The sequence below is a fragment of the Homo sapiens genome, chromosome X (assembly GCF_000001405.40).
Source record: "Homo sapiens chromosome X, GRCh38.p14 Primary Assembly".
Classification (NCBI taxonomy): Eukaryota; Metazoa; Chordata; class Mammalia; order Primates; family Hominidae; genus Homo; species Homo sapiens.
This window is the reverse complement of record NC_000023.11, coordinates 65,926,268-65,943,068: the sequence shown is the minus strand read 5'-3', so window position 1 is coordinate 65,943,068 and position 16,801 is coordinate 65,926,268. Positions and strand designations below refer to the sequence as shown.

The 16,801-nt window shown below is 38.7% G+C and overlaps 2 annotated features.

The window, feature by feature from the left end:
* Positions 9,746-10,945: an enhancer, noted in NCBI's record as "P300/CBP strongly-dependent group 1 enhancer chrX:65151966-65153165 (GRCh37/hg19 assembly coordinates)". NCBI's record gives its function as "activates an origin of replication core promoter dependent on BRD2, BRD4, P300/CBP, MED14 and CDK7 cofactors, with strong dependence on P300/CBP, by STARR-seq in HCT116 cells {active_cell/tissue: HCT116}" and the evidence as "EXISTENCE:reporter gene assay evidence [ECO:0000049][PMID:35650434]".
* Positions 16,354-16,553: an enhancer, noted in NCBI's record as "active region_29718". NCBI's record gives its function as "activates an Ori minimal core promoter by ATAC-STARR-seq in GM12878 lymphoblastoid cells {active_cell/tissue: GM12878}" and the evidence as "EXISTENCE:reporter gene assay evidence [ECO:0000049][PMID:35858748]".

Genomic DNA, 16,801 nt, shown 5'->3' with positions numbered 1-16,801 from the left:
GTCTAATATCCATAATCTATAAGGAAATTAAACAAATTAACAAGCAAAAACCAAACAACTCCATTAAAAAGCAAGCAAAAGACTTGAACAGGGAGTTTTCAAAAAAAAAGACATACGTGCGGCTAACAGGCATATGGAAAAAATGCTCAACATCACTAATCATTAGAGAAATGCAAATCAAAACCAAAATGAGGTATCATCTCACATTAGTCAGAATGGCTATTAGTAAAAAGGCAAAATATAACATATGCTGGCAAGGTTTTGGAGAAAAGGGACTGCTTATACACTGCTGGTGGGAATATAAATTAGTTCTGCCATTGTGGAAAGCAGTTTGGTGATTTTTCAAATGGCTTAAAATAGATGTACTATTTAACTTAGCAATCCAATTATTGGGCATACACCCAAAGGAACATGAATTGTTCTACCATAAAAACACATGAATGTGTATGTGCATCACAGCATTATTCACAATAGCAAAAACATGGAGTCAACCTAAAGTCACATCAACAGTAGACTGGATAAAGAAAATGTGGTACATATACTCCATGGAATACTACAAAGCCATGTAAAAGAAGTAGATTATGTCCTTTGCAGCAACATGGGTGGAGCAGGAGGCCATTATCTTAAATGAAATAACACAGGAGCAGAAAAGTAAATACTGCCTGTTCTCACTTATAAGTGGAAGCTAAACATTGAGTACATGTGGACACAAAGAAGAAAACAACAGACACTGGACCCTACTTGAGGGTGGATGGTGGGAGGAGGGTGAGGATGGAAAAATAACCTATTGGGTACAGTGTTTACTATTTGGGTGTTTGGTACACTAGAAGACCAAACCCACCACTATTCAATATATCCATGTAATAAACCTGAACATGTACCCCTGAGTCTATATAAATAAAAATAAACTTTAAGAAAAAAAAGAAAATATTCATTTGATGTGAAAGAAAGCAGCAGAATGATAGAGAAAAAAAAAACATGAGACATATAAAAACCAAAACGTAAAAAAGCTGACATAAATTCAACTGTATCAATAACACTAAATGTGAGAGGATTAAATAATCCAATCAAAGGCAGAGACTAACATGCTGCATATAAAACAAGATCCAACTATATTCTTTCTATAGGAGACACTCTAGATTCAAAGATACAAATAAACTAAAAGCAAAAGAATGGAAACAAAGATATATCATGAAAATAGCAACCACAAGAAAGTTGTAGTGGCTATAATGATGTTGGACAAGATAGACTTTAAAACAATAAAAGTTACTAAAGACAAACAGAACCATTTTATAATGATAAAAGGGTTAATCCACCAGGAAGATAAAAAAAATACATCAAGAAGATAAAACAATGCACCTAGTAACACAACACCAAAACACTTGAAGGAAAAATTGATAGACATAAAGGGAGAAAGATACAATTTAACCATACAGTAATAGTTAAAGATTAACTCACTTTTTTTTTTTTGAGTCAGAGTCTCTCTCAGTCACCCAGGATGGAGTGCAGTGGCATGATCTCCACCCATTGCAACCTCTGCCTCCCAGGTTCAAGCGATTCTCTTGCCCGCATTCTTGAGTAGCTGGGATTACAGGCACATGTGACCACGTCCAGCTAGTTTTTGTATTTTTAGTAGAGATGGGGTTTCACCATGTTGGCCAAGCTGGTCTCAAACACCTCACCTCAAGTGATCCACCCACCTCAGTCTCTCAAAGTGCTGGGATCACAGGCATGAGCCACTGTGCCCATCCTCAGTAACTCACTTTCAATAATGCATAGATCTAGTCAAAAAAATAAGGAAATAGAGAACTTGTACAACATTATGAACCAACTAGACCTAACAGACGTCTATAGAACACTATATCACAAAATGAAGAATATACATTATTTTCAAGTTTTCATGGAACATTCCACAAGATAGATCATATGCTGGACCATAAAGCAGATCTCAATAAATTTAAAAGGATAGACATAATACAAAGTATCTTCTCTGAACAAACTGGAATAACATTAGAAATCAATAGCAGGAAAAAATTGGGGAAACACATAAATTAAACAACATAATAAATAAGTGAAAAAAGAAATCAAAAAGAGAAAATCCGATAATATCTTGAGACAAATGAAAATTAAGGAAGAACATACTAAAATTTATGTGATGCACTCTCTCTCCCTCCCTTTCTCCACATGCACAGAAGAGAGGGCAAATGAGGACATGGTGAGAATCTGCTAGCCAGGAAGACAGACCTTACCAACACCAAACCTGATGGCACTTTGATCTTGGATTTTCAACCTCTAGAATTGTGAGAAAATAAATTTCTGTTGTTTAAGATATAAGTCTGTGGTATGATGTTATGTCAGCCCTAGCACACTAATACACATATGTTAATAAGGAAAGAAAATCTAAAATCAATAACCCAAACATCTTCTATAAGAAACTGGAACAAGAGATAGAACTACACCTAAAGCAAGTAGAAGGAAGGAAATAATAAAGATTAGAGAAAATATTGATGAAATATAGAATAGAATCAATAAGTAATAGAGAAAATCAATAAAATCAAAAACTGGTTCTTTGAAAAAAAAATTGGCAAAACTTTACTTAGCCTGACCAAGAAAAAAAGAGAGAAAATGCAAATTACTTAAATCAGAAATAAAAGTTGAGACATTATTCATAATGTTTAAAATAAAATGAGGATACTATGGATAATTATACATCAACAAACTACATAAATTATATGAAATAGCCAAATTTCTATTTTTAAAGCAATCAAAATTGACTTAAGGAGAAATCCCACGTTTGGACAGACAAACAGGTGAAGAAATTGAATCAGTAGTCAAAGACCTTCCAATAAAAGAGAATTCTAAGACCAGATGGCTTGTCTGGCAAATTTTATTAAATATTTAAAGAGTAATTAGTAGCAATCTTTCTCAAACTCTTTCAGGCTAGATGTGGGGTCTCATGCCTGTAATCCCAGCACTTTGGGAGGCTGAGGCAGGTGGATCACCTGAAGTCAGGAGTTTGAGACCAGCCTGGACAACATGGTGAAACCCTGTCTCTACTAACATGGTGAAACCCTATCTCTACTGAAAAAACAAAAATTAGCCACGAGTGGTCGCATGTGCCTGTAATCCCACTACTCAGGAGGCTGAGGCATGAAAATCACTTGAACCCAGGAGGGGAAGTTTGCAGTAAGCTGAGGTTGTGTCACTGCACTCCAGCCTGGGCAACAGAGTGAGACTTCATTTCAAAAAAAAAAAAAAAAAACTATTTAAAAAACAACAAACAAACAAAAGAAAGTGGAATAGTTGATAATTTATTCTGAGGTTAGCATTACATTAATACCAAAAACAGATAAAGATCCTACAAAAAACTGTAAACCAATATTCTTTATGAATATTGATGTAAAAATTTTTAACAAACTACTACCAAACTGAATACATCAGCATCATAAAGAATTAAATATCATCCCAGGGATGAAGCCCACTTGATCATGGTGGATAAGCTTTTTGATGTGCTGCTGGATTCGGTTTGCCAGTATTTTATTGAGGATTTTTGCATCAATGTTCATCAAGCATATTGGTCTTAAATTCTCTTTTTTGGTTGTGTCTCTGCCCCGCTTTGGTACCAGGATGATGCTGGCCTCATAAAATGAGTTAGGGAGGATTCCCTCTTTTTCTATTGATTGGAATAGTTTCAGAAGGAATGGTACCAGCTCCTCCTTGTATTTTTGGTAGAATTCGGCTGTGAATCCATCTGGTCCTGGACTCTTTTTTGTTGGTAAGCTATTGATTATTGCCACAATTTCAGAGCCTGTTATTAGTCTATTCAAAGATTCAACTTCTTCCTGGTTTAGTCTTGAGAGGGTGTATGTGTCGAGGAATTTATCCATTTCTTCTAGATTTTCTAGTTTATTTGTGTAGAGGTGTTTGTAGTATTCTCTGATGGTAGTTTGTATTTCTGTGGGATCGGTCGTGATATCCCCTTTATCATTTTCTATTGTGTCTATTTGATTCTTCTCTCTTTTCTTCTTTATTAGTCTTGCTAGCAGTCTATCAATTTTGTTGATCCTTTCAAAAAACCAGCTCCTGGATTAATTAATTTTTTGAAGGGTTTTTTGTGTCTCTATTTCCTTCAGTTCTGCTCTGATTTTAGTTATTTCTTGCCTTCTGCTAGCTTTTGAATGTGTTTGCTCTTGCTTTTCTAGTTCTTTTAATTGTGATGTTAGGGTGTCAATTTTGGATCTTTCCTGCTTTCTCTTGTGGGCATTTAATGCTATAAATTTCCCTCCACACACTGCTTTGAATGTGTCCCAGAGATTCTGGTATGTTGTGTCTTTGTTCTCATTGGTTTCAAAGAACATCTTTATTTCTGCCTTCATTTCGTTATGTACCCAGTAGTCATTCAGGAGCAGGTTGTTCAGTTTCCATGTAGTTGAGCGGTTTTGAGTGAGTTTCTTAATCCTGAGTTCTAGTTTGATTGCACTGTGGTCTGAGAGACAGTTTGTTATAATTTCTGTTCTTTTACATTTGCTGAGAAGAGCTTTACTTCCAAGTATGTGGTCAATTTTGGAATAGGTGTGGTGTGGTGCTGAAAAAAAATGTATATTCTGTTGATTTGGGGTGGAGAGTTCTGTAGATGTCTATTAGGCCTGCTTGGTGCAGAGCTGAGTTCAATTCCTGGATATCCTTGTGAACTTTCTGTCTCATTGATCTCTCTAATGTTGACAGTGGGATGTTAAAGTCTCCCATTATTATTGTGTGGGAGTCTACGTCTCTTTGTAGGTCACTCAGGACTTGCTTTATGAATCTGGGTGCTCCTGTATTGGGTGCATATATATTTAGGATAGTTAGCTCTTCTTGTTGAATTGATCCCTTTACCATTATGTAATGGCCTTCTTTGTCTCTTTTGATCTTTGTTGGTTTAAAGTCTGTTTTAACAGAGACTAGGATTGCAACCCCTGCCTTTTTTTATTTTCCATTTTCTTGGTAGATCTTCCTCCATCCTTTTATTTTGAGACTATGTGTGTCTCTGTACGTGAGATGGGTTTCCTTAATAAAGCACACTGATGGGTCTTGACTGTTTATCCAATTTGCCAGTCTGTGTCTTTTAATTGGAGCATTTATCCATTTACATTTAAAGATAATATTGTTATGTGTGAATTTGATCCTGACAGTATAATGTTAGCTGGTTATTTTGCTCGCTGGTTGATGCAGTTTTTTCCTAGCCTCGATGGTCTTTACAATTTGGCATGATTTTGCAGTGGCTGGTACCAGTTGTTCCTTTCCATGTTTAGTGCTTCCTTCAGGAGCTCTTTTAGGGCAGGCCTGGTGGTGACAAAATCTCTCAGCATTTGCTTGTCTGTAAAGGATTTTATTTCTCCTTCACTTATGAAGCTTAGTTTGGCTGGATATGAAATTCTGGGTTGAAAATTCTTTTCTTTAAGAATGTTGAACATTGGCCCCCACTCTCTTCTGGCTTGTAGAGTTTCTGCCGAGAGATCCGCTGTTAGTCTGATCAGCTTCCCTTTGTGGGTAACCCGACCTTTCTCTTTGGTTGCCCTTAACATTTTTTCCTGCATTTCAACGTTGGTGAATGTGACAATTATGTGTCTTGGAGTTGCTCTTCTCGAGGAGTATCTTTGTGGCATTCTCTGTATTTCCTGAATCTGAATGTTGGCCTGCCTTGCTAGATTGGGGAAGTTCTCCTGAATAATATCCTGCAGAGTGTTTTCCAACTTGGTTCCATTCTCCCCGTCACTTTCAGGTACACCAATCAGATGTAGATTTGGTCTTTTCACATAGTCCCATATTTCTTGGAGGGTTTGTTCATTTCTTTTTATTCTTTTTTCTCTAAACTTCCCTTTTCACTTCATTTCATTCATTTCATCTTCCATCACTGATACCCTTTCTTCCAGTTGATCGCATCGGCTCCTGAGGCTTCTGCATTCTTCACGTAGTTCTCGAGCCTTGGCTTTCAGCTCCATCAGGTCCTTTAAGCACTTCTCTGTATTGATTATTCTAGGTATACATTCATCTAAACTTTTCTCAAGTTTTTAACTTCTTTGCCTTTGGTTTGAATTTCCTCCTGTAGCTCATAGTAGTTTGATCATCTGAAGCCTTCTTCTCTCAACTCGTCAAAGTCATTCTCCATCCAGCTTTGTTCCACTGCTGGTGAGGAACTGCATTCCTTTGGAGGAGGTGGGGCACTTCGCTTCTTAGAGTTTCCAGTTTTTCTGCTCTGTTTTTTCCCCATCTTTGTGGTTTAATCTACTTTTGTTCTTTGATCATGGTGATGTACAGATGGGTTTTCGGTGTGGATGTCCTTTCTGTTTGTTAGTTTTCCTTCTAACAGACAGGACCCTCAGCTGCAGGTCTCTTGGAGTTTGCTAGAGGTCCACTCCAGACCCTGTTTGCCTGGGTATCAGCAGTGGTGGCTGCAGAACAGTGGACTTTCGTGAACCGCAAAGGCTGGTTCAATATACACAAATCAAGAAACGTAATCCAGCATATAAACAGAACCAAAGACGAAAACCACATGATTATCTCAATAGATGCAGAAAAGGCCTTTGACAAAATTCAACAACCCTTCATGCTAAAAACTCTCAATAAATTAGGTATTGATGGGACGTGTCTCAAAATAATATGAGCTATCTATGACAAACCCACAGCCAATATCATAGTGAATGAGCAAAAACTGGAAGCATTCCCTTTGACAACTGGCACAAGACAGGGATGCCCTCTCTCACCACTCCTATTCAACATAGTGTTGGAAATTCTGGCCAGGGTAATGAGGCAGGAGAAGGAAATAAAAGGTATTCAATTAGGAAAAGAGGAAGTCAAATTCTCCCTGTTTGCAGATGACATGATTGTATATCTAGAAAACCCCATTGTCTCAGCCCAAAATCTCCTTAAGCTGATAAGCAACTTCAGCAAAGTCTCAGGATACAAAATCAATGTACAAAAATCACAAGCATTCTTATACACCAATAACAGACAAACACAGAGCCAAATCATGAGTGAACTCCCATTCACAATTGCTTCAAAGAGAATAAAATACCTAGGAATCCAACTTACAAGGGACGTGAAGAACCTCTTCAAGGAGAACTACAAACCACTGCTCAAGGAAATAAAAGAGGATACAAAGAAATGGAAGAACATTCCATGCTCATGGGTAGGAAGAATCAACATCGTGAAAATGGCCATACTGCCCAAGGTGATTTATAGATTCAATGCCATCCCCATCAAGCTACCAATGACTTTCTTCACAGATTTGGAAAAAAATTCTTTAAAGTTCATATGGAACCAAAAAACAGCCCATATTGCCAAGTCAATCCTAAGCCAAAAGAACGAAGCTGGAGGCATCACACTACCTGACTTCAAACTATACTACAAGGCTACAGTAACCAAAATAGCATGGTACTGTTACCAAAACAGTGATATAGATCAATGGAACAGAATAGAGCCCTGAGAAATAATGCCACATATCTACAACTATCTGATCTTTGACAAACCTGACAAAAACAAGCAATGGGGAAGGGATTCCCTGTTTAATAAATGGTACTGGGAAAACTGGCTAGCCATATGTAGAAAGCTGAAACTGGATCCCTTCCTTACACCTTATACAAAAATTAATTCAAGATGGATTAAAGACTTAAACGTTAGATCTAAAACCATAAAAACCCTAGAAGAAAACCTAGGCATTACCATTCAGGACATAGGCATGGGCAAGGACTTCATGTCTAAAACACCAAAAGCAATGGCAACAAAAGCCAAAATTGACAAATGGGGTCTAATTAAACTAAAGAGCTTCTGCACAGCAAAAGAAACTACCATCAGAGTGAACAGGCCACCTACAAAATGGGAGAAAATTTTCGCAACCTACTCATCTGACAAAGGGATAATATCTAGAATCTACAATGAACTCAAACAAATTTACAAGAAAAAAACAAACAACCCCATCAAAAAGTGGGCAAAGGATATGAACAGACACTTCTCAAAAGAAGACATTTATGCAGCCAAAAAACACATGAAAAAATGCTCACCATCACTGGCCATCAGAGAAATGCAAATCAAAACCACAATGAGATACCATCTCACACCAGTTAGACTGGCAATCATTAAAAAGTCAGGAAACAACAGGTGCTGGAGAGGATGTGGAGAAATAGGAACACTTTTACACTGTTGGTGGGACTGTAAACTAGTTCAACCATTGTGCAAGTCAGTTTGGTGATTCCTCAGGGATCTAGAACTAAAATTACCATTTGACCCAGCTATCCCATTACTGGGTATATACCCAAAGGACTATAAATCATGCTGCTATAAAGACGTATGCACATGTATGTTTATTGTGGCACTATTCACAATAGCAAAGACTTGGAACCAAGTCAAATGTCCAACAATGATAGAGTGGATTAAGAAAATGTGGCACATATACACCATGGAATACTATGCAGCCATAAAAAATGATGAGTTCATGTCCTTTGTAGGGACATGGATGAAATTGGAAATCATCATTCTCAGTAAACTATCGCAAGGACAAAAAACCAAACACCACGTGTTCTCACTCATAGGTGTGAATTGAACAATGAGAACACATGAACACAGGAAGGGGAACATCACACTCTGGGGACTGTTGTGGGGTGTGGGGAGAGGGGAGGGATAGCATTAGGAGATATACCTAATGCTAAATGATGAGTTAATGGGTGCAGCCCACCAGCATGGCACATGTATACATATGTAACTTACCTGCACACTGTGCACATGTACCCTAAAACTTAAAGTATAATAATAATAAAATAAAGAAAAGAATTAAATATCTTGACTAAATGATTTATTCCAGAAATGCAATACAGTAATGGGCCTCATAAATTTTTTTATCAATGATGGACCACATAAATGACAGTGGTCTCATAAGAGTATAATGAAGCTGAAAAATGTTTATTGCCTAGTGACTTAGTTGTCATAGCATTGTAGCACAATACACTACTCACATATTTGTGGTGATTATGGTGTATACAAACCTAGTATTAATAATAAACAACTCTGTTACTGGCTTATGTAGATATCATACTATATTTTCATCTTTATTTTAGAATGTACTCCTTCTATTTATGAAAAGTTCACTCTAAAACAACCTTAAGCAGGTTCTTCAGGAGCTATTCCAAAAGAAGGCATTATTTCCATAGAAGATTAAAGCTTTGTGTGTTGCTGCTCCCAAGGATCTTCCAGTAAAAGAAGACATGGAGGTGAAAGACAGTGATATTGATCACCCTGAATCTGGACAGGCCTAGGCTAATGTGTGTTTTCATGTCTTAGTTTTTAAGAAAAAAAGTTTTAAAAGTATTTAAAATATTAAAAATTTAAAAGTAGAAAAAGCTTATAGAATAAGGATATGAAGAAAAAATATTTTTGTACAGCTGTACAATGTGTATGTGTTTTAAAGCAAGTATTATTACAAAAGAATCAAAAATATTAAAAAATTAAAAAGCTTTTTAAGTGAAAAAGTTACAATAAGCTGAGATTAATTTATTAATGAAGAAAAAAACTTTTTTTGTAAATTTCATGCAGCCTGAGTGTACAGTGTTTATAAAATTTATAGTAGGGTTCAGTAATGTCCTAGGCCTTCACATTTACTAACCATTCACTCACTGACTCATCCAGAGCAACTTCCGGTTCCGCAAGCTTCATTCATGGCAAGTATTATATACAGGTGTACTGTTTTTATTTTTTATGTTGAATTTTACTGTACCTTTTCTATATTTAGATACACAAATACATATTATTGTCCTACAATTGCCTACATTATTCAGTACAGTCACATACTTTACAGGTTTGTAGCCTAGGAGCAATAGGCTACACTACAGAAACTAGGTATGTAATAGGCTATGCCATCTAGGTTCATGAAAATACATTCTATATTGCTCTCACAAAAAGAAAATCACTTAACAGTGCATTGTTTAGAATATGTCTCAATCATAAAGTGATACATGACTGTATAAAAATACCAATCAATGTAATGTTAGATGTGAGTTCTAAATTTCTCTTGAAAGGATCAATATGTCAGTATGTTCAATTCTTTGCCTTCTACTTTTAAACTTAACTTCCTCGTAAAGCAACCTTTTTCAATTACCTGCTCCATCCTGACTCATTCCCATTACCTTCTCCACTCTGACTCATACTCATTACCTGCTCCACCCTGACTCATTCCAATTACCTGCTCTGCCCTGACTCATTCTGATTGTTTGCTCCACCCGGACTCATTCCAATTACCTGCTCTGCCCTGACTCATTCTCCACCCTGACTCATTCTGATTTCCTGATCTGCCATAACCATTTTTTCCCGCCAAACCACTCACCTTGTCACTCTCTTTAAATTAGCCAATCAGAATTAGTTTAGCCTGTTCAGTCTAACCCTAGCCAATAGGGGAACAACAGCAGCAGGGACCACATGTGTCAGGAATAAGAACCCCTCCCCCTCCCTTGTCCAGGTGTGCACTCACCATTGCTCCATCTGTAAGGGTGGGCCCTTTTATAGAAGTACATTGCCTTGCTGAGAATTAAAAAAAAAAAATTATATTTGAATGCTATTTCTTTTGCAGCACCAAAATTTTATTTGTAACAACTTAGGGGCTCGCCCATGATTACATTCCCCTCCAGGGACAGTCTCTGGTTCTCCCTCGTGAGGAGGCGTGCCCCGCCCCCTTGTGGCGACCTCAGGGCTTAGGAATCAGCACCCACTCAGTGCGAGGAATAACCTGAGATCTCAGCAACGCAGAAAGAAACTGGCCAGCAACCTAGCTTAAAGGGTCCTCACCTACTGTGGCAACAACTCTGTGCACAGACCAAGGAAGGAGAAGCCATGTGAGCCAGTAAAGTACTTCCTTGGTGGTCAGACTCTGGAGGGCTAAATGTGTGTGTACATGAATGATCACAAACAACCCTGCTTGTGGTGTTGTTCATGTAGATGGTGACAAGTCCTACTGCTGGATGGAATGAGTGGGTCCTCTCCACAGTTCTATAGCTACCTCATATGGCTTAAGGTGGATCCTGCCATGGGATTTATACCAGCATGCCAACACTAAGAGGGGCCCCGAGGGAGCAGCCAGAGAGGACAACATGAGTGGGAAGTGGGCAAGGGACATTCAGAGGGGGAAAAGGAGGAAAGAGGTCAACTTTCCAGAGCAGCAAGGCAAGATACCTCCTGGTTTGAGGGGTTAGGCCTTCCGGAACAGGCAAGGCAAGACATCCCTGGTTTGAGGGGTTGAGGCTTTCAGGGCAGACAAGGTGAGACATCCCTGGTTTGAGGGATTGAGGCTTCCAGGACAGGCAAGACAAGACACCCCTGGATTGAGGGGTTGAGACTTCTGCAAATTTCAGGGGGCTGAACCTCACACAAAACTCCAGTAGTAAGAAAAATATTCAGAACTCCCCTTTCCTTTCTTCTCAGGGGAAGAAAGAGTAGCTCCACTCCCGCCTATCCCTCCCCTAGGGGAAGGGGAAGGAGAGTGGAGAACAGTAGCATAAGTGGCCAGCAGAGGCAGAGAAAAAGAGAGAGAGAGAGAAAGACAAAGAGGGAGTCAAAGAGAGACAGAGAAAGAGAGAGAGAGAGAAACAGAGAGAAAGAGAGAGAGAGAAAGAGAGATAGAAGTAGTAAAGAGGAAGCAGTGTACCCTATTCCTTTAAAAGCCAGGGTAAATTTAAAACCTATAATTAATAATTGAAGGTCTTCTCCGTGATCCTATAACACTCCAATACCATCTTGTCATCAGTGTAAACAAGGGCATAGCCTGAAAACACTGAGGCCAGTGACAACCCGTAGCCTTTCTAATAAAAAATCTTTAACCCAGTAACCCGCGGATGGCCCAAATGCATTCAATCTGTAGTGGCAACTGCTTTGCTAACAGAAGAAAGTAGAAAAATAACTTTTAGAGGAAACTTCATTGTGAGCACACCTCATCAAGTCAGAACTATCCTAAGTCGGAAAAATAAAAAGGTAGCTTACTGACTCAATAATTTTAAAGTATGAGGCTACTCTGTTAGAAAAAGATGATTTAACATTAAACACTGAAAATTCCCTTAACCCAGCATGTTTCCTAACAGAGGATCTAAATCTTAATTACCATCCAAAGGTTCGACCAGACCTAGGAGGTACTCCCTTCAGAACAGGCGATAGATGGTTCCTCCTGGGTGACTGAGGGAAAAAGACACAATGGGTATTCAGTAAGTGATAAGGAAACTCTTGTAGAAGCAGAGTTAGGAAAACGGCCCAATAATTGGTCTGCTCAAACTTGCAAGTTGTTTGCAATAAGCTGAACCTTAACGTACTTACAGAATCAGGAAGGAGCCATCTATACCAATTCTAAGTTAATTTGAACTGAACAAGGTCTTATTAATAGCAAAGAATAATTGAAATCCCAAACTTACAAGGTTTTCAACAAAAGTAAAGTTTGCTAGAAGTTAACAGTGTAACATGTATTATCCTAACTTGTAATCTTGTGGCCTTGCACAGTCTAGTCCACAGACATGAAGGAGGTCCACTTTGGAAAAGAATGGCTATCATCCTTGAGGAAAAAAAGGCGGGGGGGAGAATTTATGTAAAAAAGAATGTTATATGGTAAATTCTTGTCCTAAAATAAATTAAATGGTTGTTTAAAGAAAGGGATGTTTGCAACAAGTCAGAAAGTTGAGGCATGTCAAAGAATTGTCTTTGAAAGTCGTGAAAAAAAGTTATAAAAGGGAATTTATGCAAGAAATGTTGTATAATTTAAAAGTAATTAGGCCTCCTGAATGTAAACTATTGAAGAAAGAGTGTGCAATGTGTGTAAGGAAAGTAAAATATACTTTTGGTAAAAGGATTATAAGGAGGCATAAGAATGTGTATTTTTACCTACATTAAAAGGTTAAAAAATATTTTGTTTTAAAGGTTTAAGCAAGTTTTGAAAAGTTAATTGTAAAGGAAATTGTGTGTGTAAACATATTGGCTAAAGTTAAAGGTGTATCATCTGGTTTCTCTGTGAACTGGACATTAAAATAAAAGCACAACAGGTTTTTCTTAAAGCACTAACTTGCTCTTTAACAAAAATTATAAAAGACTAAAAAGAGTCTATAAAAATCTTACCTTATGGTCAGACATTAAAAATTGAATAAATATGTCTACAAGGTTTTATTAAAATTAAGCTTAACATTAATAACACACTAATATGAAGGTGAAATTTAGCTTATCTGGTATAAAAATAATACAGGAAGCATTGTTAAATATAAAATGGTGTTTGGCTTTCTTTGGTCTAAAAACTAATAAAAATAGGTGCTAAACAAAATTTATCAACAAGAAGGCACCAAGGACTATAAAGTCCACTGTTGATGTCCCCACATTTAAAACAAAAGATTAGTTTCTTAGAAATTATATACTTGGTTTATCCTCCACCTTCTCTTCCCTTAAAACAAGAGATCTTTTAGCACAGGCACCACCTTTGGGGTTTCCAGTACATCAGCATCAGCCTGGGGATCGTGTTCTCATCAAAGGGTGGAAAGAAGGGAAAGTCAAGCCAGCCTGGGGAGGACCCTACCTTGTGCTGCTAACCATGAGACTGCTGCTCGTACAGTGGAAAGGGATGGGTACAACACACCCAAGTCAAGCAATGTCATTATCCTCAGAATCATGGACCATTGTTCCTGGATCAAGCCCTACCAAATTAAACCTAAGGAAAGCTTAGTCTATCTTTTCCTTTCCTTTCCTTACCCAGTGCTTATATCCATTACTATTCCTACCACTAGCAACTCTAACCCCACTTTAAAGCACTTCTATGGTTTTGGAGCAGAGGTCACTGGAAAGGATCCTACAGGCTTCTTTAAGGTGTGCTTTGTTCTCCCTACTCCACCTCCTATGGCTGCCCCTTTCCCAAACCTGTGAAATCAAACTATGACTTGCCTCATGCCAAATGAAACAAGCAAGTTCTCAGTAGTAGAAATAGGAGGACTAAGGCAAACCATAGCCATTGAAACAGAGTATAAAGATGTAAATGCCTGGTCAAAATGGATTCAATATTCCACCCACAAGTTAAACTAAGACAATTGTTATGCTTGTGTGCACGGCAGGCCAGAGGCCCAGATTGTCCCTTTTCCACTAGGGTGGTCCTCCAATTGACTGGGCTTGGGCTGTATGGTAGCTCTTTTCCAGGATTCTACAGCGTGGGGTAACATGTCATGCCAAGCTCTCTCTCTGCTATATCCCGAAGTTTGACACCCTGTGGCTCAGCCCCTGGGGGCCATCCAGCTTTGATCTCTCAGAACTAAGTTCACTTCGTGTCTCTCACGACAGGGAGGAAGCTTAACATTCCTTGGAGACCTGAAGGGAGGCAGTGAGCTTAAAATTTTCAAAAGCTTACCAATTAGTCAGCCCTTATTCATCCCTGAGGAGATGTGTAGTGGTATTATGGTGGACCTTTACTGGACACTCTGCCAAGTAACTGAAGTGGTACTTATGCTTTAGTCCAGTTGGCTAACCCTTTCGCCCTGGCATTTCATCAACCAGAGAAAGAAAAAAAAATAAGACATCATAAAGCAAAAGAAGCCCCTTATGGGTCTTTTGACTCTCATATCTATTTAGACACAATTAGAGTCCCACAGGGAATACCAGATCAATTTAAAGCCCAAAATCAAATAGCTGCAGGATTTGAGTCAATATTTTGGTGGGTGACAATTAATAAAATGTAAATTGGATAAACTACATCTATTACAACCAACAGTGATCTATTAACTACACTAGAGATGCTGTTAAAGGAATAGCTGAGCAATTAGGGGCTACTAGCCAGATGGCTTCGGAAAAATAGGATAACCTTAGACATGATATTAGCAGAAAAGGGAGGAGTTTGCATCATAATTAAAACTCAATGTTGTACCTTCATCCCAAACAACTCCGCCCCTGAGGGAAGTATAACAAAGGCATTGCAAGGTCTGACTGCTCTGTCCAATGAGTTAGCCAACAACTCAGGGGTAAATGGCCCCTTTACAAGATGACTAGAAAAGTGGTTCAGTAAATGGAAAAGAATAGTAGCCTCAATTCTTACTTCCCTTGCAGCCGTAATGGGTGTACTTATTCTTGTCAGGTGCCGTGTCACACCATGCATCCATGGGTTGGTGCAAAGGCTCAAAAAATGACACTTACTGATACCTCCCTTAACTATCCTCCACCTTATCCAGAGAAGCTTCTTTTGGAAAATCAAGCAGAACAACTAAGCCAAGACATGTTAAAGAAGTTTGAAGAGAAAGAGCTGTAAGGAAATGCAAGAGGAGGGGTTGTTAGATATGAGTTCTAAATTTCTCTTCAAAGAATCAAGATGTCAGTATGTTCAATTATTTGCCTTCTACTTTTAAACTTAACTTCTTCTTAAAGCAACCTTTTTCGAGTACCTGCTCCACCCTGACTCATTCCAATTACCTGCTCCACCCTGACTCATTCTCCACCCTGACTCATTCCAATTTCCTGCTCTGCCATAACCATTTTTCCCGCCAAACCACTCACCCTGTTACTCTCTTTAAATTAACCAATCGGAATTAGTTTAGCCTGTGCATTCTAACCCTAGCCAATAGGGGAATGACACAGCAGCAGGGGACAAGTGTGTCTGGAATAAGAACCCCTTCCCCTCCCTTGTCCAGATGTGTGCTCACCATTGCTCCATCTGTAAGGCTGCACCCTTCTATAGAAGTACATTGCCTTGCTGAGAATTAAAAAGAAAATTTTATATTCAAGTGCTATTTATTTTGTGGCACTGAAACTTTATTTATAACAGTAAAATGCCACATTATTTGAATGATTTTAAAAAAACATAATCATCTCAATCAATGTAAAAAAAAAAAGCACTTGACAAATCCAAACCATTTGGTAACTTAAAGAATGCATTCAATAAACTAGGAATAAAAGGTAAATTCTTCAATATAATGAAGGGCATTAATTGAAAATCCACAAGGGAATGTTGCAGCACTACAGCCTGGATGACAGAGCCAGACCCTGTCTTAAAAAAACCCAGGGTCCCAGACCAAGATGGTAGATTAGAAGCAACTGTGGTCCATGGCACTCAAGGAGAGGAATGAAAGGGGTGAGTAAATACACACTTTCAACTGAAGTATCCAGGTACTCTCATTGGAACTAATCAGGGAAACAACTTGACCCACAGAGAACAAAAGCAGGGCAGGGCAACAGCCCACCCTGCAGTGACATGGAGCCAAGGGAACCCCCACCCCTAGCCAAGGGAAGTGGTGAGTGAATATGCAACCCCAGGAAACCACACTTCTCCTACAGATCTTTGCTACCCTCAAATTAGAAGATCCCCTCATGAGCCTTGTGCCTAACACACAGAACTGTGTGGAGTCTCAGCAGAGCAGCTTCTCAGCCACACACAGAAACCCAGTGTTATAGGAGTTATTAAGAAATTATTTTAGGCAGATAGAGAGGAAAAGGGGTCCTTGGGAAGTTTTTGTTTCTTTTTAAGCAGCTCCTGCTTAAATATAGAAAGCAGAAATGCTTCCTGTCTAGAAGGAAAGCTCCGACTCTTAGAGCTGGGCAGGAAACCTTTGATATGCAAATGCAAGCCACTAGAAACTGGGTCCACCCAAACATGGCGATTCCCACAGTTGTCCTCTTGCCCTTGCCCCGACATGTGCCTGGCAACATGGCTGCCCCCACATATCCCCACGTGTGTAGAACATCATGGTGCCCTGCATTTGCATATTTAAAAGCTAGGGTGGGAGGGCCAGTTTTTTATGGGCTACATGATGACATGCCTGGTCAAACCAATCCCCTGAGCCTT